The following is a 22,479-nucleotide window of genomic DNA, read 5'->3' as shown; positions in this document are numbered from 1 at the left end:
GTGGTTGAGATAAAGGTGATTTTAAGCCTCCGTCCACAGTGAGGATCTTTCTTTTATTCTTGGTGAGAAAAAAAATCCCCCATCCACCCTATCCCCCCCAAATTATCATTCTCCTCAATCTTCTTTCTCTCCCTGATTTGCCCATCTTAGTGACTGGTACCATACTCTTAAATCAACCTTAAACCAAAGCCCTGGCAACACCCATCTTCCTCATATCCAGCTCCCTATTATTACTAAACTTCTACTGCAGTCATCCCTTCCTCTTCTCCCTATTAGTATTACTTTAATTGAGCCCCTCATCCTCTCTAGACTAATTTAACCTTCCTATCCCAAACTCATCCCGCCATTGCCATTCCCTGCTCCACAAAGATGCTAGTCATTTTTCTAAAACAAATTTAAAACTTGTGCTTTCATTTAAAGCCCTTCAGACTCTCAATTCCCTTTTGATTTAGAAGGAGGTCCTATGCATGCTATATAAAGGCCCTTCATCAGAAAACCCAGGCTCAATTATCCAATCACTCCTCCCTACCCTATCCCCTACCCAAAGCTGCAATTTCCTTGACAATGAGCTTTTACGTTTTGCACACAATGCCTCCACCCTTTCTACTGTATACATCACAGTGTACACAAACTATACATAGGTGACATCACTACTCTTCATATCATAATGCTCCTCATATTACTTTTCATCATATTCCCAGCCCCACCCCATCAGAAAGAGCTTGCTGAGGAAAAGGCTGTGTAGGTATCTAATGTTGCGGACTACCCTGCAGAATGGCTGACAGATGGCAAGCAAGTAACAAAGCTCAAACAACCAGCAACTTTCCGTGCACTCTTTCCAACCACCAGATGCTATTACTATTAAAACCTTCATAGGCTATTATTGTATTAAAGCAATCTCAAAAATTATTTTGTAATTAAAATGAAAAAAAGGACAATTGTGTAGGACTAGCAAAATAAGAGATTTTAGGCTGGGTGCGGTGGCTCATGCCTGTAATCCCACCACTTTGGGAGGCTAAGGCGGGCAGATCACCGAGGTCGGGAGTTCGAGACCAGCCTAATAAACCAGGAGAAACTCCATCTCTACTAAAAATACAAAATTAGCCAAGGATGGTGGCGCCATGCCCATAATCCCAGCTACTCGGGAGGCTGAGGCAGGAGAATCACTTGAACCCAGGAGGCAGAAGTTGCAGTGAGCCAAGATGGCGCCACTGCACTCCAGCCTGGGCGACAGAGAAAACTCCGTCTCAAAAAAAAAGACATTTTATTCATAGGCCTTCACCCATAGGATTATTTGGAATTAATAAACTGTTACAGCTCTAAGAGAACTCAGACATTTAATTCTTTGCTTTTGCAAATAAATCAAAGTACTGATTAGGAAATTTTGCACAAGAATGATGCTGCAGCCTCTAAACAACTCCTTTAGGATTTTACTACTCTTCAGCTAAGTTGCTCACAACTTTCATTCTTGAAATTACCACCAAAACAGAGACAGGCTTCTAAAAACTTCTGAGTTATCTCATAAAATGAGAATAAGGATTTGGAATTTCTTGTTCAACAGAAATTGCTATAAAAATTAAACCTTATTTCTTGATGTTAAAGAAAAGCCAAATATATTAATAATCTTTACAAAGGCAAATTTAAAAACCACTTATAGAAGTCATTTCAGCAAAAAAAAAAGTAACATGGTAAAAATTCATCTCGACAATTTTTATTCAAAGGTGCTCATATTCAGCCAGAGACAAGATGGATAATCTGCAAACAGTTCTTGAGCTTTTATTAACATTTAGTAAATAAATACTAGTCTTATTAGTAAACTTTGTCCCTATTTTAAGAAAACCACATAAGCAACTATATCCACAGCGGCTCCCAACTTTGGATAGTAATTATTCTCCTTCTCATTTATTCATTAAAGCCTTTTTATGTATGTGAATAATATTTTTTAAAAGTTCCATAATGCACATGTACTTATCACTAAATTAGGTCTGGGTTGTTTGTGCCAATTAGTGCAGTTTTATTTTATTGTCTTCCCTTAGCGAGTGCAGTAACACATTGAAATCATAATGACTAAGAATCACTTTCAAATAAATATTACACTTCACAAAAAAGGAAGAGATAGAAAGCAATGAGCTAACCTTTTAAAATTTTGTCCCCTTTGCTTAATTTTTTAAATCAACTTTCCCAACAAGAATCCTCTCTGCAATTAAAATGTAAACAACTTTCAATAAATAAAATGGCACTAAATGAGGAAAAACAAACATGCATTTCTAGTACACACACACACACACACACACACACACACACACACACACAGAAATGAAATGTAAACTCCATGAAGGCAGAGGCTTGTTTTGGTTTTTCATTTGGTCTGTTTTGTACTGTTGAATCCTAGTGCCTAAAATAGTATCTGCACGTGGTCAATGCAAAAAAAAATGTGTTAAATGAATATTTCCACCAGGCAGCTTTTCAAGTTGTTTTGCTCTGTTTTTGATGTTAAAATAAGCACTATAAGGCCTTTATGAGCTATACTGTTCTGCTCGATTATAATTCTTGTTTACAAGTAGCAAGTTATTAATCAAGTTCTCGGGTTTCTAAGTTTACTGCTGAGCCCAGCAAAGCATAGCCTTTGGCCTGTTTTGATAGGCCCTCAAACTAAGGATGGTATATGTATACGTATATGGGTTTTTTTGTTTTGTTTTGAGATAGGGTCTTGCTCTGTCACCCAGGCTGGAGTAAAGTGGCACAACCTCAACTCACTGCAACCTCCACCTCCCTGGATTAAGCAATCCTCCCAAGTAGCTGGGACTATAGACATGCATCACCATACCCAGCTAATTTTTTTGTATTAATATTTTTTGTAGAGACATATTGTTTCACAATATTGCCAAGGCTGGTCTGGAACTCCTGATCTCAAGCAATCAGCCCGCCTCAGCCTCCCAAAGCGCTGGGATTACAGGCCTAACCACCACACTCAGCCGCACGGTTCTATATTTTAAGCTTTGTAAAAGACGAAGAATATACAAAGAGGCCCACAACACCTAAAATATTTACTAATACTCTACAAAGTTTGCTGCCCCCTGGACTGGAGATTCCACTCATAAGAGAATAAATTTTCTCTAAATATATACTTTCTTTCACCCATCAGTAGAATCTGCACTATTGGATCTCTTACCTAAATCCTTTTCCATATCTAAGCCCCTGAATTTTAGAATGTTATCTGAAGAATGTTAAATAAATGCTTTGCTGTTTTGGTTTTTTATCAGAGCATAAGTAGTTATGACGTTGAAGCTAGGAAAAGTAAATGATTAAAGTTAATTTATCTTTAATGTTTCACATACTAAAAAAATAGCAAACAAGGATGAAAGAGGAAAAAAGTCAAAATGGAATATAAACAGAAAAACTTGAACCTAACTCTATTTCAAATTAATAGCAAAACCACTTTAAGTGGGGGAGAAAACTAACCAAGTAATGTTTGTACATAGTATTTTAACTACATGCCCTTAGACAAAAACAAAAAATGAATTATAAACAAACTCTAATTAATAGGTTTGTTTACAGATATATGCTTTAGCAATTCTGAATCTACTTTCTATGTATTTCAGGAATGAACAAATAATAAGTAAATATATTGTAGATAACAAAAGCCAGGGTTCTTGCTGTCGAAGACAAACTTGGAAAGAGGGAAAGCTAGAACGAACCCTACTGTGTTTGACTGGAATTGAAGATACTATGATGAATTCATGGCTTTTTAGATAAACGGATACAAAACAGATGAGAAAGAGAATGTATGTATATATATAATTTACAGTTCTATCTATTGATAGATATACACACACTAAAAGAAACTAGAGAAATGGCTGATTCCCAGGCTGGTGGGAGTTATTTTATTACACTAGAGAATAAGACAACTCAAAAAATAATGAGGACTTGTCAAAAGGACAAAGGAGCCAGCTTGCCTAGTCAAAACTGAGACAATCAGAGTATAAAGATAACTCAGTGAATTAAGAAAAAAATCCATGAGTTTAGCTGGGTGCGGTGGCTTAAACCTGTAATCCCAGCACTTTGGGAGGCCAAGGCAGATGGATCACTTGAGGCCAGGAGTTCAAGACCAGCCTGGCCAACATGGCAAAACCTCGACTCGACTAAAAATACAAAAATTATCCAGGCATGGTGTTGTGTGCCTGTGGCCCCAGCTAGTCAGGAGGCTGAGGCACGAGAATCGCTTGAACCTGGGAGGTGGAGGCTGCAGTGAGCTGAGATCAAGCCACTGCACTCTAGCCTGGGTGACAGTGACAGAGTGAGACTCTGTCGCCAAATAAAACAAAAAACAAAAAACACCACGAGTTCATACTAATATGCATATACACCTATATATATAAATGGGAAAGCTTGTAGAGAATGCAAACTAATAAATACAAAAATGATAGACTCCGAAAATCACCATGTGGCAATCACCATTAGTTCTGATTCAGATAAGACGACACCAAAACAAGTGGTGAAAATTTGACAAGTAGCAAGGTATTTGCATCAAAGTATCTCCCCAGAAGATACTATTAATAGTTACAAAGGAAAGACAGTAACTACACAGTAGGGAAACCCTGCAGATAAAAATTAACACCCCAGCCTGAGCAACATAGCCCGACCTCCTCTCTACCAAAAATCTAAAAAATCAGGCAGGCATGGTGGCATGCACCTGTAGTCCCAGCTACTCAGAAGGCTGATGTCAAAGGACTGCTTAAGCCCAGAAGTTCGAGGCTGCAGTGAGCCATGATCACACCACTGCACTCAAACCTGGGCAACAGAGCAAGATCCCTGTCTATTTAAAAAAAAATAATAAACAAAAGCTCTACATCCCTATTAATGGAATATGTGGACAACATGATTCCTGATATGGTGTGCTGAGAGGAATACAATATTACTCCTGGAGTGTTTCTGCCAAAAATATAGAACCCAAACCTAATCATGAAGCAGCAGCAAATCAATATTAAAGCAATTCTAAAAATACTGGCCTATTTTAATCAAATATCATCTCAAAGGTCATACAAGAGAAGAGGAGTAACCAATTGATTCACATTAAGGGAGACTAAGACAAGTGAATGTAAGGTGTGATGTAGAATTTACTCTAGTAAGGACATTATTGGTATGATTAGTGAAATCTGAATATGATCTACAGACAACAGTACTGTATCCAAGTTAGTTTCTTGATTTTGATCATTGTACTATAGTTAAATAAAATGCGCTTGTTTTTAAAATACACAGAGTTATTTAGAGGTAAAGGGTACCATGAATTGCAATTTATTCTCAAAATGTTCAGAAAAGAAATTATGTGTTCATTTGTATGTGAAGAGACAGTAAGAAAGCAAACATGGTTACAGGAGGCACAGAAATCTGGATGAAGTATACATAAAAATTATTCATCATTCTTACTATTTTTCTATGAAGGTGAAGTTATAAAAAGAATGAGGAAAAAATAAATTTGTATTTGGACATTATACCAGTAAAAACAAAACAACCAACCAAAAAAACCTATGAAAAATTGAATGATGGTTCCCCTTTACACCTAGCACCAGAGGTTGAGAACTAGGTCCTTCTAATCCCTGCTCTAATGCTTATAGAACTGCATTTCCTTGGAAAAATCACAACTGTTGGGCCTCAGTTTCCTTGTCTGTAAAATGGGATGACACCTATCCAACCATTCTCACAAAGTTAATACTAAAGATCCACGGAAACATGGTAATGGCTGCAGAAAAAGAGGGCAGAGTATAAAACACTACATATTATAAAGTGGTTCACTTTTTTCTAATACCTCCTTTTTTTTCTTTTTAATTTTTGTGAGTACACAGTAGGTACATAGACTTGTGTACATAAGATGTTTTGATAAAGTGGTTAACTTCCCCTCACCAACCCCCACCCACACCCAGCCAGAGTCTTGCTCTGTTGCCCAGACTAGAGTGCAGTGGTGCAATCTCAGCTCACTGCCACCTCTCCCTCCCCGGTTCAAGCGATTTCCTGCCTCAGCCTCCTGAGTAGCTGGGATTACAGGTGCACGCCACCACGCCTGGCTAATTTTTATATTTTTAGTAGAGACAGGGTTTCAACATGTTGGCCAGGCTGGTCTCAAACTCCTGACCTCGTGATCCACCCACCTTGGCCTCCCAAAGTGCTGGGATTACAGGCGTGAGCCACCGTGCCCAGTAAAGTGGTTAATTTCTAATAAATGTTTGGTAAATTAAAAGTACTTCAAAAATATGTAAGAGATTTTTTTCATCATAGTGAGCAGCTGTTACAGAAACTAGACATTTGCTACATCATGTTTTGATATGTAAAAAACAAAATTACTTATTCAAAACTCACTTGAAGGGCAAAAAAGATTTTAAAAAATTTTTTTACTCCAGAGGATTTTACTCATATATTTAAAATATTTCAACAAACTCAAACACTTATGTCTATTTTTTCTTAACCATAAAACTTTATGGTATCAAAAACATTGCTAGATCAAAGAAAGCCATTAATTAGGATTTGGTCAACCTCTGAGACATTGATCACTGTACAGAAATCTTTATTTCCCAAGTTCTACACACTAAAGTACATGGCAAACTATTTCATCTTTCATTGATAAGCTACTCAAATGAACCCTGAGGAATCACATCAAATTCAGAAAATATTTACAAAAAGGACATCAAATTTCTCAGGTACTTAAAAAAGTTTGCTTTAAAAATGAAAATACTTATTAGTTTATTCTTCTAAATTCATAAGGTTTGGTCTCCACTTAAGAATAGTTGCTTTTTAAAATCATGCATGTGGAGACTAATGATTCTCACGGACAAAAGAAAACATTCTTAAAGCTGTATTTTACAAGAAATAGTTAAGATTCCAAAATATCAAATGGAGATTTTAAAACATATATAACAGACAATTTTGTATAAAACAATGTAGCTAGTCATATTTTCCCACTGTTTGAAAAATCATTTAACTAAGTCTACCTGTTCAGTCTCTATTTTGAACAGTGGACAGGCAATCTGGACTCTAAGAGGCAAAATGCTAAGAACGGATCAGGCTGCAAACAACATAGTCCCTAGCAAAGAAGCAATGCTGGAGTCAGTAATGCCTGCACAGCCTCCCCAGCTCTGCAGCAAGTTCAATACACAAACTGCTAATGAGACAAAAGGAAAAGAATCACAACAACATAGGCTCCAAGAGGGCATGGTTTTTGCTTGTCTGGTTTACCACTATATCCCAGGAGATGGAAAAAAAAATCCCTAGGCCGCGATACATGTTCATTAAATATTAGTTACGTGCATGAACAAATTAATGAAAGAATGAAATCCTACATCTTTCAAGTCAATCTATATAAATCACATTAAGTTGCAGAATTATTTTAAAAACAAATTTGTCATACATCAACTTAATAGTCAAAATTGTCTTTAGAGAACATGAGCAACATAGTCCCCATTCTGAATAAATAAAGAAATGTCAAAGTTACTGAGATTTTTCCTGACCTATAATAGGTATTTTAATACATTTACATAGCCTTCCTTAAGTTTAAAGGATGGCTGTATCAGAAACTCTTATAAAACAAAATTAGAAAGACAAAACAAATGCATAAAATCAAAATCAGAAAAAGCAAATGCATCATGTTTACCATCAAATATGAGACAGAATCCATTTAGGTACGAAATCACAAACTATAGAAACATTTCTCATCAGCATTTATTTCTCATAATCAATAGTACCTCTACCACAATCTGCTGCCTCTATAATTAGAAAATCAAAAATTCAATTCTTTATTCCTATAGCATATATGTCAATAATTTGTCATCTTATAGTTCAAAGAAATTCTTCAAAAGGTGTATTTTATTATTCAATTAAGAGGTCTGCAATTCACTCAAATAGTTCTATCTCTTTTGTAAAATCACATGGAGCAGAATACAAGTAAACATAACAAAAGTTTATATATATATGATTTATGCTCACTATTGAGCATAAAACTTTTTTCTCCAATTAACCTTTTTGTGAAGCAATTCAACTTATTCCCTAGACGCTCTCTTTTAAGACTACCAATCTATTCTAAGTGACAAACTTCATTCTGCTTCCCAAGTACTAACCATATAATCAAATACACTATTCCACTACCAATTGAAACCTAACATATTCCAAAGGGCCTGCCTTATGTGGGTTATCATCATCTTACTATGCTTCTTGTGTCCATGCTGCTGGAAAAGCAGTCTGTACAAGCAGGAGTAGAGGCACAATCCTGAGAGAGAGGAGTAGAGAAAGATGTTGAGAACACAAAACCAGACAAAATGAGCTCACTTAAAAGTTCAGGAGCTCAGCCAGTGTTCAAGGTCAAGGTTGATTACATTCTTTCACACCATTATGAGTTAGAAGTTGTCCAAAACAGCGTAACTGGCCTTAGAAAGAGATATCTGAAATTGTACATACAACTAGTAATACTATCACTAATTCTAAGCCACTGATACCCCTTCTGAAAAAGATGCAAACGGGCCGGGCGCGGTGGCTCACACCTGTAATCCCAGCACTTTGGGAGGCCGAGGCGGGCGGATCACTTGAGGTCAGGAGTTCGAGATCAGCCTGGCCAACATGGTGAAACCCCGTCTCTACTAAAATTACAAAAATTAGCCGGGTGTGGTGGTACATGCCTGTAATTCCAGCTACTGGGGAGGCTGAGGCAGGAGAATTGCTTGAACCCAGGAGGCGGAGGTTGCAGTGAGCCAAGATCATGCCTCTGCACTCCAGCCCGGGCGAAGAAGCAAGACTCCATCTCAAAAAAAAAAGAAGCAAATGATCATAGAATATGACTCTTTGGGACACTGGGGCTATAAAGTCCCCTAAATGTTAATCACAATTACTATAACAAATTCAATGCTAGTCTAGAATGAAATAATTGAACTCCACGAAACATGCATTTCCATCATGCCTAAAATTTTTTTATATTTAATGATGTGTGATTAACACTCTCAAATCATGCAGTCTCTCAAAACCATTATCAGTTTCAATTATCCTTGTATTCTATTTTTAATGTAAGAAAAAAACTTCTATATGTCATTTCAAACAGAAAAACAGCAAAATCAGACTTGAAAATAACATAATTACTAGACAACATAAAACTCACAATGGACTTAACCTAACTGAAATCTTCAATGGACTAGTTCCCTCTCCAACTCTCCTCCCCAAAGTAATAACCAGATGTTCAGAAATGTTAACTACCTTGGCCAAGGTCATTTAGCTACCTAGGATTGCATCCATTCATTCAAGAAATCTTTACTTAGCGGCCAGGCACGGTGGCACATGCCTATAATTCCAGCACTTTGGGAGGTCAAGGTGGGCAGGTCTCTTGAGACCAGGAGTTCTACACCAGCCTGGGCAATATGGCAAGACCCCATCTCTATTCAAAACACAACAATTACCCAGGCATGGAGGTGCGTGCCTGTGGTTCCAGCTACTCAGGAGGCTGAGGTGGGAGAATTGCTTGAGGCAGAGGCAGAGGTTGCAGTGAGCCCTTGATGGCACCACTGCCCTCGAGCCTCGATGACAGCAAGACCCAGTCTCAAAAAAAAAAAAAAGAAAAAGAAAAAGAAAAAGAAAATCTTTACTTCACATATATACTGTATATTGAGATACTGTGCTATGAACCAAGGACATGAAACAAAGGAAATACAGTCACTGTCCTCATAGAGCTTATTATCTAGTGGTAAAGACTATTAAAATTACTTAAAATTGCTATGATCACTGGAAGAAACAGCACAGTATTTTAAGACAGTTTAACAGGAGACCTAAATCAGTGATTCTGGACCAGGGTCACTGTGCCCCCAAAGAAACATTTAATAATGTCTGGAAACATTTTTGGCTGTCATAATTGTGGAGGGTGCTAGTGGCATCTAATGCATAGAGGCCAGGGATGCTGTAAACATCCTGGAATGCATAGGACTGCTCCCCAAGCAAACAAGTATCCAGCCCAAAATATCAATAGTTCCCAAGATACTTAGCTCTTGGGTTCTCATATGAGCAGAAAGGGGTTAGTGAAAGACTTCCTTCCTTTATAATACTAATTAATATGCTACATCTTTAAAGGACTTTCACAAGGTAAAAAGAAAAAAATATAGCCTGACTGACAGAATTAACCAGAACTCCCTCTAGAAAATGATAATAGGAAAGGAAAACCAGAGACAGATTCCCTGGTAGATGAAAATAAAAGACAAATGCAGTGTTTTATAGCTGCTTCCCATAAATTCCCTATCCTGAACCATCAACAAAGGAAAAATAAACTAAAAACAAATTTCACATGTTTATATTATTCCCTCTACCTTTTCCACTTTTCTCTACCAAGCCATGTCTACTACTAGATGTTGGTGAGATTATAAAAAGTCCTATAGTTAGACAAAATACCCACCCTGGATACAAATTTGGAAGTAAAATAAAGTGGAGATGGGAGTTCACTTTATAGAACAGAAAAATGTAGTGGATATTAAATTGATTCTGGAAAGCCTGCATCCTGGAACAGTTTAAAGATTAATCTATCCAAAAGGATCCCAAAGACAAAAAATACTAAGAATTTAGGTATCCTAAATATAACTAAAGGTAACAGAATCCTCTCAATTTATGAACTAAGGTAAATCCAGAAATTAAACTGAAATTATTATTCTGACATATCTCAAACCTACATATCCGGTCCTACATCTTCCCACTCAGCCTATTCAGAGCAGCAAGAGAAATAGATCATGGGGGAAAGGCTACATTGTAATACACTAGCTATACAAAGGACCTGAAAAAAATAGATCACTGATTGGTATTTTATTATATTAAAGATTTACTGTTAACTTTTTTGAAGTGTGATTAATGGTAAAGGAACTACGTTTGTTTTTTGTTTTTTTAAAGTACTTAAAATTTAAAAGAATCTGGCCAGGGGCAGTGGCCCACACCTGTAATCCCAGTACTTTGGGAGGTCAACACAGCAGGATCATTAAAGGCCGGGAGTTCAAGAAAAGCCTGGACCACATATTGACACCCCCCACCCTTCCCTACAAAAAATTTAAAAATTAGGTGTGCATAGTGGCACATGCCTGTATTCCTAGTTACTCAGGAGGCTGAAGCAGGAAGATCACTTGAGCCCAGGAGTTCGAGGTTACAGTAAGCTATGATCCTGTCCTTGCACTCTAGCCTGGGCAAGAGAAACTCAGTCTTAAACAATAACAACAACAATCTGCTGTATTTTAAAATGCCCTCTCAAACTAAAGGAAAGAATGGGTCATGCACTGCCACTGTCTCACGACCCCTTTTCAAAGAAACAAAAAAGGAAACAAAAAAACAATAGAACAAGATCCTACCAGAATGACCTCCACATAGTGATCATTCTTAAGTACAGAGTATAGATATGCAGCTCACATAAAACTGCTGCATTCCAGCAATCAATGCAGTCCCAAAGTAATCCACAGATTTAGGCAGTTCAATCTGCGACCCTTTTCACTAGGAAGAAATGCTAAATCATTACAAGCGCCACCATCTTAGAGCAGCAGCAACTGCAATAGCTTGCACTCATAATTCTCTTATGGTTAACTGCTCACCCATTGCCTCTGAGGAAATCTTGTATTGTAATCTGAACTTAAGTCTTCCATCATTTCAGAATTGAAAGTAGTGGTCATGGGATTAAACTTTCATCACAGTGATGATGTTTAAATAGAAATTATTTTTCTCCCACAAAATTAGCATGGGGCACTTAAAAAATAAATTATTGAGCCTAAATCTCATTTAACTCGTGAGAAGAAAAATTTACCACATAATTCCTGCACAATTAAAGGATCTTCTGACATAGTAATTTTTAACACAGAAGTGAAAGGTCAACTCCTTTGAGAAATTATGGTAGGGAGGGTAGACATGACAAAAACAACTCATACATATCTTGCATGAAGTCTGGGATTTTCATAGCTGAAACTCATCCACAGTTTGCAGATTAAAAATCTGTATTATTGGGGTTTTCTTTTCTTTTTTTTTTTTTTGAAGCAGAGTCTCACACTGTTGCCCAAGCTAGAGTGCACTGGCTATTCACAGGTGCAGTAATTGCACTCTATAGCCTCGAACTCCTGGGCTCAACAGATCCTCCCACCTCAGCCTCCCAAGTAGCTAAGACTACAGACACACACCCACAATTCACAAAAATCTGTATTCCTAAAGTCTCTGGCATCTTCCTGGTTTTCAAACCAATGATCTCCACAAAATTAAAAGATGGGGGTGACAAAATTCAGTCTGGAAAAACCTGAGCCTTAGCAAGCCATAAAAGGTTAAGTATTTTGTATTTTAAACATTTAATTTGGGGCAGGCACCACGGCTTAGGCCTGTAATCCCAGCACTTTGGGAGGGGAGGTGGGCAGATCACCGGAGCTCAGGAGTTCATGACCAGCCAGGGCAACATGGCAAAACCCCATCTCTACAAAACAAAAACAATTAGCCCGGCGTGGTGACCTGTCAACAGCGAGTACCTGTCTCAATTTTTCTGATTCAGGGTCGCACTGTTGCCCGGGCCAGAGTGTAGTGGTGCAGCTCACTGCAGCCTCCACCTTCCTGGGTCATGAGATCCTCCCACCTCAGCACCTGCCCCCTCCTTTACACCCCCTTCACCCATGTTGGGACTACAGGCACATGCCACCGTGACCAGCTAATTTGTGTTGTTGTTGTTGTTTTGTAGAGATGGGGGTTTCGCCATGCTGGCCAGGCTAGCATGGAACTCCTGAGCTCAAGTCATCTGCCCACCTCGGCCTCCCAAAGGGATGGGATTACAGGCATGACCCATCGAGCCCAGCCTATTTTAAATATTTTAAGGTGAAGTATCAAAATATCTTGTTGACAAACGTTCCTGATTATTCTTAGAGCTAAATTTTGATTCCTTACAAAGCAAATGGAATTGACAATTCAATGTTTCAAAGATACCTTTAAATTTAGCAGAGAAGTTGTGATGGATTAAACCCAAAGATAAACACCTTTAAAAGCCAAACTATGAGCGTCGAAAACATCCTTTTCTCCTAATCCTGCAACTAGAATTCCTTTTTAATTTTTGTAATTTGTAACACATAATTTAATGGAAAACAATCATTACTGAACTACTTCTCAGCATATACTTATTTGCAATAACAATGTTTACTACACATCAGCAAATATTACAACATTCACAGAAACTGCATTCAAAATAAAAAACAGTATTATGTATTGTTTTGTGTTTAAAAAAAAAAGTATTTTTCTGAATCTTCTTCAAATATATTTCCCTTCCTCAACTCCCTGACTCTGTACTGCTATTTTTAAGCTAACTCCACTTTGAAACACGGTGAAGTTAGAGCATATAAATAAATAAGGAAGTTACAAGACTTAAGTTCTTTGAAATCCATATGGGGAAATGGGAGAGTGCTACATACACTAAAATGGGACTAAGACAAACCTCAAGTTCCTGTAAAATGAGAAAACAGGTGAAACACCTATCTACACATGTAAATGTTAGGCCCCCTTATCCTTAATTAATATTAAAACGAAAAACTGGAATTAACATTTCTTCCCTACTGTGACCAACCATAGTGCACTAACCACTTGTTTACATCTAATATTTGGGAGCTACTGTTTAAAACGTCATGGATGGGCCAGGCGCAGTGGCTCACGCCTGTAATCCCAGCACTTTGGGAGGCCGAGCCGGGTGGATCACCTGAGGTCAGGAGTTCGAGACCAGCCTGGCCAACGTGATGAAACCCCATCTCTACTAAAAATACAAAAAACTAGCTGGGCATGGCGGTGGGTGCCTGTAATCCCAGCTACTCCGGAGGCTGAAGCAGGAGAATTGCTTGAACCCAGGAGGTGGAGGTTGCATTGAGCCAAGATCTCGCCATTGCACTCCAGCCTGGGCAACAAGAGCAAAACTCCGTCTCCAAAAAAAAAAAAAAAAAAAAAGTCTTGGATGGCCCTTTGAGGGGGAGGACCACATTATTAGGAACCCCCCCAAAGACAGACACCCAACAAAGTGTGTGTGGGGAAGAGGGTGGCGGCGGGAATTAAATCCAATGAGGGCAAAAAACAAAACAAAACGAAATCCCCCAGGCGTGGTGGCTCACATCTGTCATCCCAGCACTTGGGATGCCAAGGTGAAAGGACCGCTTGGGCCCAGGAGTTCAAGAACAGCCTGGGCAACATAACAAGACCTCCTCTCTATAAAAAATAAAAATGACGGGCATGGTGACACTGGCCTGTAATCTCACCTACTTGGGGGGCTGAGGTGAGAGGAGGACCCCTTGGGCCCGGGAGGCAAAGGATGCAGTGAGCCAAGATCACACCACTGCACTCCAGCCTGGGTGACAGAATGACACTCCTCAAAAAAAGAAAGATAGCTATGAAAAAAAATGAAACACCAGGCGCAGTGGCACACGCCCATAATCTCAGCACTTTGGGAGGCCAAGGCGGGTGGATCACTTGAGGTCAGGAGTTTGAGAACAGCCTGGCCAACATGGTGAAACCCCATCTCTACTAAAAATACAAAAATTAGCGGGGCGTGGTGATGTGCGCCTGTAATCCCAGCTACTCGGGACACTGAGGCAGAAGAATCGCTTGAAACCGGGAGGTGGAGGCTACAGTGAGCTGAGATGGTGACACTCCAGCCTGGGTAACAAGAGCGAAACTCTGTCTCAAAAAAAAAAAAAAAAGAAGATTCCCAAGTCTATTGCTCTAATTTATCAATGTTAAAAATAAAAAATGTAGTATTAAAAAAGAAAATGCTTTCCAAAAAAAGTTATGTATCACTGCTATTGAAAATAGCCCAAATATTATCTACCGTTTAGCCTCTTAGCTAAGATTCCCAAATACTGTTTTTCTTTTTAAAGAAATTAAAACAAGATAAAACTATGCAACGGCATTTAAAAGTACTGTCCTATTTGGGCCGTCACAGCAAAAAGCCTCGTATTTTAAGAGGTAAATATTAAAGATACTCTTTAACAATCATAGTATCGAATAAAGTATTGGCACTTTAAGAGTTCATAAAATTTATGCTAATTTAGTTACCAGCATAATTACACTTTTTCTTTTTCTTTTTTTTTTTTTTGTAGACAGAGTCTCACTCTGTCACTGGGCTGGATTGCAGTGGCGCAGATCTCGGCTCACTGCAACCTCCGCTTCCCAGGTTCAAGCGATTCTCCTGCCTCAGCCTCCTAAGTAGCTGGGATTACAGGTGCCTGCCACTACGCCCAGCTAATTTTTTGTATTTTTAGTAGAGACAGGGTTTCACCACGTTGGCCAGGCTGGTCTTGAACTCCTGACCTCGTGATTGGCCCGCCTCGGCCTCCCAAAGTGCTGGGATTACAGGCCTGAGCCACTGTTCCCGGCCATAATTACACTTTCCAAGGCGTACGGGTAGGGATACTAATGCTGACTGTGCAGATGTGTACTTGCTATGTTTGATGTTTACATTAAGGCCTATTGAAGTCGGAGTTTAAAAAGAAATTGAATACATCAAAACCTGTCTTCTTCCAGACTAGTAAATTCAACTACACAGTGAAAATGGAATCTGCTTTTTAAAATCTTGTTTGACACGTGAATGAACCAGCGAGAAATGTTTCCCCCATAATCTTCCATCTCTCGATGCACAGATCTCTCCCTACCATTTGTCTTTATGTCGTGATGGATTAGAAGAGGAGCGAGTAAAAATAAAAGATATTGCAGAATAACCTTTGCCTGCCTACCAACCATCCAATTAGCTCAAGTCCCTAGCTGGCAAATTACCTAGTCAACAATGCCTCAATTATAAACACTACGTGTAACGTGACCACAGATCAACACCCCGTAGGTTCATTTCCCCCACCGCCCCCAATCGGTGTTAGCCTCAGTGAGGACCCGGGAAGGTCTGGAGAGTCATGTCCAGCGTCCACTTAAATCCTCAAAGGCCCAGGAAGGAGGTGGGCGGGCCAGGCCTCGGCGGAACTGACCTCGAGGGACCTGTCGGGAGTCTCCGGGTGAGGGCCCAACCGGGTCTTTCCCTCCGAGCTCGCAGCCATTCCATAGGACGCCGGAGACGCCAGAACCTCCCTCCGCCCCAGGGCGGCCCTCCCCCAACCCTCCTCCCGGACCCGGGGGAGGGGCACCCAGAGGAGAAACACCCCTCCCCCACGGGCACTGCTAGGCCACCGCTCACCCCACCCTTAAAAAACCCGCAGGCCCGCGCCCACCCTCCGGGCCCCGGCCTCGACCAGGGGTGGGGGCGGTGCGGGCAGGAGCAGGGGAACCCGGCTGCCATACCAACCTCGCTATTGAAGGTCTTCACGGCCTCCATGTTGTCGCTGCGGAGGCCCCGAGCCCGGCGGCGGAAGAGGCGGCGGCCACTGCACTGGGTGGGGAGAGCGAGACGCGGGCTGCTGCGTGGCCGCGAGGAGGGGGCGCTGGCGGGAGAGCGGGCCGCTGCGACCTCGGGGCGGAGTGGAAGGGCACGCGCTGGCGGGGAAGGGCTCCCTCAGCGGCAGAGCGGCACCGGCATGGCCGCTAGGGCGGGGGGAGCGCCGTTCTAGGGAACAGAGGCGCTGCCGGGGCGGGTCGGCGGCGGGCGGGGGAGGGGCTGGGCCGCGGCGCCTTCTCTTCTCTGCCCCGCTCCGTTTCGGTCCCCCTCCCTCTAGCCCCTTCCCCTACACTCTCCACTCCCTTCTGCCCCTTCCTCCGACGGGCTCCTGTTTCACCTCCCCGCCGCTCGGGCCGCAGGAACCAGCCCCGCTCGGCGAAGACAGAGGAGGAAGCGCTGGCAGCAGCGGCTGCGGCATCCAATATGGCGGACTCGAGTCGGGCCGCGCAGTTCGGGGATCCGCGGCGCCGGCTAGCGCGCCCCCTGGCGACTGGACCGTGCGAGCCCCGGCGGCCGCGCGGAAACCATCGAGCGCGCTGGGGCCAGAGCGTCGCCGCCCGTAGGCCCGGCTGGGCTCCGCTGCCCTCGCCTTGGCTCCGGGGCCGCCCGCGCCTCGCCCCCTCCCCGCGCCCCGCGGACGCGGGAGTGAGCGCTGCGGCATCCGGGGGAACGCCGCGGCGGGTTTGTACAGCAGGAGGAGGCAACTCCAAAGCGCGGCTCTAATAAGAGCCTAAACGTGCCCAAGAAGCGGCAAGTTGAGGAAATGTGCGCGTTTCCCTTGTTTCCCGGTGGATTGGTCCTTTTGCACAAGCGGCAGGGTTTAGTTGCTTTTCACAACTTTACTGGACAGTGCCCTAAACATCCGCAGCCTTCGCCAAGAAAAAGTTCCTGGTCATCTATTTAGTAACTGAACTCAATTGTTTTAACTGCACAGGGAGGGAACATTAGAAACCAAAGCCTTGGATTCGGGTTGGGGCAGGCGGCGAGGGAAACAGGCATGCAGCAGCTCCTTGCAGGAAATGCCCGCTGCATAGGATCCAGGGACTGGAGTGGCACAATGAGCGCATTTGTCTGCAAGGCGGGAAGGGGACCCTAGAATGCACAACACTTGAATAGGTGAAAAGGGAACCCGTCTGTTTCGGAAGATGAATTGTTCTAAAGGAATTTTGCCCTAGGATACTTGGAGTAAAGGTAAATACAGTATTTCTTAGATGGATTAGGAGATGCTGCTAGTAAAAAGCCTTCTCTCTCGTGCAGCGCAAAATAAGGTACCAATTTAAAAATACTTATCGATGTTAAAAGATAGGGATGTATCGTGGAACCCCGAACACTGCTGTCCTCTTGTTGAAAGTCATTTTTCAACAATCATTCCCAAATTCACTCAAAGGGAGAGAGGAACATAAGGGCAGGATCGTACTTTTGGAGAGTTTTGGAATCAAGGTAGTTCCTAAGAGCTGTGCGCAGAGCCCCGTGAAACTGGGAAAGTAAGGCCCTTCTTGAGGTTTCAGAGCCTTCATTCTACTTCATTGGCAGCTTTAGTATAGGGCCTGGCTACTGAGAAGGTAACAGGGATAACTCACCAAGTGCTTTTATATTTACTTTCAAAATCTCAAATTCTGTCACAGATTTCTCCACCGTCTCCCATCTTCAGGCCTAGCCATGATCTTTTACTGACACTTGCAGTAGCCTCCTAACTGGTCCCTTGCTTGTCTTCCTACAGTTCATTTCCAGACAGTAGCCGAGGGATGTTTTTCTTAGATAAATCAGATCAGGTCACTCCCTTACTTAAATCCCTTAAATACTTTCTCATTGCCCATTTGATACCATCATAACTTCTCACCATGGCCTGAAGGCCCAGCCCAGCCTGCCGCAGCTCACACCACCTTCCCTTGCTCCCTGACTCTCCTCCTGCCACACTGGCCTTTCTGTTACTTGACAAGAAGCAGTGTTTTCATAGGTAGGACAATTGTGTCTCTTCACACAGGGTGCTGTTGCTCTTGTCCTTTCCATAGCTGACTCCTCCTCCTTCAATCTTCCTGAAAGAGGTCCCCTAATCACTCCATCTAAAGGAGCATTTACTGTGGCTTGAGAAAGTACTGCACTCAGTTCTGTGCATGCCAGGTTCTCACAATCAGAAGTCACTGCTTTGAGGCCGGGTGTGGTGGCTCTCGCCTGTAATCCGAGCACTTTGGGAGACCGAGGCGGGTGGATCACCTGAGGTTAGGAGTTCGAGACCAGCCTGGCCAACATGGTGAAATCCCGTCTGTACTAAAAATACAAAAAAAGTAGCCAGGCGTGGTGGCACGCCCTTGTAGTCCCAGCTACTCGGGAGGCCGAGGCAGGAGATTCGCTTGAACCCGGGAGGCGGAGGTTGCAGCGTGCCGAGATCGCGTGACTGCACTCCAGCCGGGGCAACAAGAGTGAAGCTCTGTCTCAAAAAGAGAAACAAAAAAGAAAAGAACGGAAAAAAAAGGCGCTGCTTTGGCCTGTGAGGGATTATTTATTAGGTCATACATGAAATGAGTGTTGATGGAATTACTTAGGCCTGAGAAATTAAAATGCAATACAAGCTAAAGGATAAAATCAGTGGTTAACATGCTTCACAATTTGATTTAATAAAGCTTCCGCATTCAGAATGGTAACAGAGGGCATAGTTTGATCAGGGTAAGCAGAGGGGGAAGATACAGAGAGCAGCCTAAACACAATCTTTTTTTTTGCGGGGTGTTGGGGCGGGGCTGGACGGAGTCTCGCTCTGTAGCCAGGCTGGAGTGCAGTGGCACGATCTCGGCTCACTGCAACCTCCACCTTCTGGGTTCAAGCGATTCTCGTGCCTCAGCCTCCTGAGTAGCGGGGATTACAGGCACGTGCCACCACACCCAGCTAATTTTTGTATTTTTAGTAGAGATGGGGTTTCACCATGTTGGCCAGGATGGTCTTGATCTCCTGACCTTGTGATCCGCTTGCCTTGGCCTCCCAAAGTGCTGGGATTATAGCCGCGCCCGGCTTTTATTTTTTATTTATTTATTTTTTGAGACTGAGTTTTGCTCTTGTCGCCCAGGCTGGAGTGCAATGACGCGATCTCGGCTCACCGCAACCTCCGCCTTCCGGGTTCAAGCGATTCTCCTGCCTTAACCTCCCAAGTAGCTAGGACTACAGGCAACCGACGCCACGTTCGGCTAATTTTTGTATTTTTAGTAGAGACGGGGTTTCACCATGTTGGCCAGGCTGATCTCAAACTCCTGACCTCCAGTGATTCACCCTCCTCGGCCTCCCAAAGTGCTGGGATTACAGGCATGAGCCACCTCGCCCAGCCTAAACACAATCTTAATATAAGAAGGCGATAAAGCAAGAGAAGGGTTAGAGGGGAGCCTGGGGTTCCAGTGCAATGACTATATACAAAATTTATACACAACTACATACAGAGTGTGAAAACAGTACCCGTGTGTGTGTGTCTGTGTGTGTGTGTGTATGTATGTACGCTAGGATTCTGATTGCCAGTATAACCAGCCAATTTGAGCTAGTTTAAGCATAAAATAATAATTCATTATTACAGTACAGGTTTTTCTCATGTAACCAAAAGTCAGAAATGTAGCTGAGTCCAAGGGAGGGACTTGAACCAAAATAGAAAACCTAAGAGGCAATGTAATCTCTGCTTATCTGCTTAATTTTTCTATTGCTTTACCCAATTCTCTGTTTTATCTAGTGGAATCTATTACTTTTGGTTTTATAGTTCTAGACAACTTGAGGACCTGAATGACGACCTCTTCCTTCCCAAATCCAAATTCCCAAGGAAAGAAATAAGGAATTTCATTGACCCAGCTTGGATTAGGTGACCATCACCAAGAAACTGACCACTAATTTGGTTCTCAAAAGACTGATAGGAAATAGTGGTCAGGAGTACTTCAGTCATTGGAAGAGATATTTCATAATCTAAAGTTTCTGGTGTTCTCCTGTAAATGTTATCATCAGATTGTCCCTGAGGACTAAATAGTTTCTGGGAGTAACTTATAGAAATGAATTCAGCCATGGCCAAGAGGTCAGAGTCAAAAATAGTCTAGAGCAGTAGTCACCATAGAACTTTCTGGGGTCATGGAAATGTTCTGAATCTGTGCGGCCCAATTCAGTAGCACTAGCCCTGTGTGGCTACTGTGCACTTGAAATACGGCTAGGGCAGCTGAGGAAGATAATTTCCAATTTTATTTTACTTTAATTGACTCATGTTTAAGTATGTGGCTAGTGGCTACCATATTGGAAAGCATAGGTCTAGCTAGAGGGTACTCGCTCCCATGGACAGGGCACTTCTTAGATAAGGGATAATTGTGAGGTAGCACTAAGCAAAAAAAAAAAAAAAAAAAAAAAAAAAAAAAACAACGTGAATTATCAGCTATTAGAAGGAATAATATATGTTTATGAGGTACTTTTAAAACGGGGCAAAAACCTGGAGCATTGTCTAAATTAAAACTAATTCCCACCCAATTGGAAAAAAGAAAACTTAGGAAGCAAACATTCCAGAATGCTTAGTAAATTAGGGTATAGAGACAAATGAATTATTATACTACCAATAAAATGATTTTTAAAAGATTGTGGGAAACTATTTGGCAGTTCCTCAAAAAACTAAGCATAGAATTGCCATATGATCTAGCAAGTTCACGTATGTGTATGTAGCCAAAAGAACTGAAAGCAGAGACTTGAACATGCATGTTCAGAACAGTGTTACTCACAATCGTTAAAAGGTGGCAGCAACCCAAATGTCCATTGATGGATGAATGGATAAACAAAATGTGGTACAATGGAATATTCAGCCTTAAAAAATGAAGGAAATTCAAGGCCCAGCACGGTGGCTCACGCCTGTAATCTCAACACTGTGGGAGGCCAAGACAGGCAGATCACCCGAGGTCAGGAGTTCGAGACCAGCCTGGCCAACATGGTGAAACCCCATCGCTACTAAAAATACAAAAATTAGCTAGGCGTGGTGGTGCGCTCCTGTAATCCCAGCTACTCGGGAGGCTGAGGCAAGAGAATTGCTTGAACCTGGGAGGCGGAGGTTGCAGTGAGTCAAGATCATGCCATTGCACTCCAGCCTGGGTGACAAGAGCAAAACTCCGTCTCAAAAAAAAAAGAAGGAAATTCTGATACATGCTATAACACAGTTTTACCTTGAAGACATTGTGCTAAGAGAAAAAAAGCCAGTTACAAAAGAACAAGTACTGTATGATTCCGCTTATATAAGCTACCTAGAATAGTCAAACTCAGAGAGACAGAAAGCAGAATGGTAGTTTCCAGGGGTTGGGGGAGAGAGAAACCAGGAGTTGTCATTTAATAGGTACAGAACTTCAGGTTGGGAAAATGAAAATTTCTGGAGGTGGCTGGTGGTAACGGTTGCATGACAGTGTGAACGTACTTAATGCCATAGGGCTGTACACTTAAAATTGGTTAAAAATAAGTTTTATATGTATTTAATCACAATTTTTCAAATTTAAAGAAATGGTTAGAATAGGACTAGGAATATAAAAGAAATGTATATGAGAGACTATTAAGTACAAAGGCGTAGAAAACAAACTGTTAATGTATTTTAGCTCTAAAAGTATGTATGTAAGGCCTGAAAATGATATGAAAAATAAAAATTGTATTAGTATACTAGGATTATGAGATTTTTAAAAATATTTTGTCCCTTTCTAATAATTCAGTAATTTCCTATCTCATTTTTTTTAATGGGCACCATATAATTCACAAAGTCGCCAAACTTGATACCCAAACCAGGCATCCTGAGAGAAGCATAAGATATTAAAAGTAAACATTTTACTTTTACCAACTTCATTTAAAATAAGTAGGAATTTTGGGTTTGATAAGTATTTTGTTGCCTGATGAAGAGGGAGTTCTTCCTGGGTGCAGTGGCTCATGCTTGTAATCCCAGCACTTTGGGAGGCCAAGGCGGGTGGATCATCTGAGGCCAGGAGTTTGAGACCAGCCTGGCCAACATGGTGAAACCCCATCTCTACTAAAAATACAAAAATTGGCCGGGTGGTAGTGGTGCGCACCTGTAATCCCAGCTACTCAGGAGGCTGAGACAGGAGAATCGCTTGAGCCTGGTAGGTGGAGGTTAGCGGTGA

The 22,479-nt window shown here is 41.7% G+C and overlaps 1 protein-coding gene across 5 annotated transcripts in view, besides 5 other annotated features; it reads right to left on the bottom strand.

Annotated features, from left to right (window-relative positions):
- The window catches only part of SCAF8 (SR-related CTD associated factor 8), a 100,867-nt gene extending 84,035 nt beyond the window's left edge, over positions 1-16,832 (bottom strand). Inside the window, exons 1-3 of one of the 5 annotated variants that reach the window (NM_001286189.1) lie at positions 16,707-16,832; positions 16,280-16,363; positions 8,192-8,254 (exon numbers count right to left, since the gene is read on the bottom strand). In NM_001286189.1, the coding sequence (NP_001273118.1) occupies positions 8,192-8,254; positions 16,280-16,363; positions 16,707-16,787 (228 nt within the window). In that variant the 5' untranslated portion in view covers positions 16,788-16,832. Of the gene's footprint in view, positions 1-8,191; positions 8,255-16,279 lie in introns of all 5 variants that reach the window. The other 4 variants (NM_001286188.1, NM_001286194.1, NM_001286199.2 and 1 more) reach the window with 4 other exon arrangements.
- Positions 16,022-16,621: a silencer, noted in NCBI's record as "silent region_17699". NCBI's record gives its function as "represses an Ori minimal core promoter by ATAC-STARR-seq in GM12878 lymphoblastoid cells {active_cell/tissue: GM12878}" and the evidence as "EXISTENCE:reporter gene assay evidence [ECO:0000049][PMID:35858748]".
- Positions 16,022-16,761: a biological region, named in NCBI's record as "NANOG-H3K27ac-H3K4me1 hESC enhancer GRCh37_chr6:155054583-155055086".
- Positions 16,258-16,761: an enhancer, noted in NCBI's record as "NANOG-H3K27ac-H3K4me1 hESC enhancer chr6:155054583-155055086 (GRCh37/hg19 assembly coordinates)". NCBI's record gives its function as "activates a minimal SCP1, AML or CMV promoter by ChIP-STARR-seq in naive H9 embryonic stem cells {active_cell/tissue: H9 hESC(naive)}" and the evidence as "EXISTENCE:reporter gene assay evidence [ECO:0000049][PMID:30033119]".
- Positions 16,772-16,891: a silencer, noted in NCBI's record as "silent region_17698". NCBI's record gives its function as "represses an Ori minimal core promoter by ATAC-STARR-seq in GM12878 lymphoblastoid cells {active_cell/tissue: GM12878}" and the evidence as "EXISTENCE:reporter gene assay evidence [ECO:0000049][PMID:35858748]".
- Positions 16,922-17,161: a silencer, noted in NCBI's record as "silent region_17697". NCBI's record gives its function as "represses an Ori minimal core promoter by ATAC-STARR-seq in GM12878 lymphoblastoid cells {active_cell/tissue: GM12878}" and the evidence as "EXISTENCE:reporter gene assay evidence [ECO:0000049][PMID:35858748]".

This window comes from Homo sapiens, chromosome 6, assembly GCF_000001405.40.
Source record: "Homo sapiens chromosome 6, GRCh38.p14 Primary Assembly".
Lineage (NCBI taxonomy): Eukaryota > Metazoa > Chordata > Mammalia > Primates > Hominidae > Homo > Homo sapiens.
Note: the sequence above shows the minus strand (reverse complement) of the source record. Positions and strands in the feature narration are given on the sequence as shown.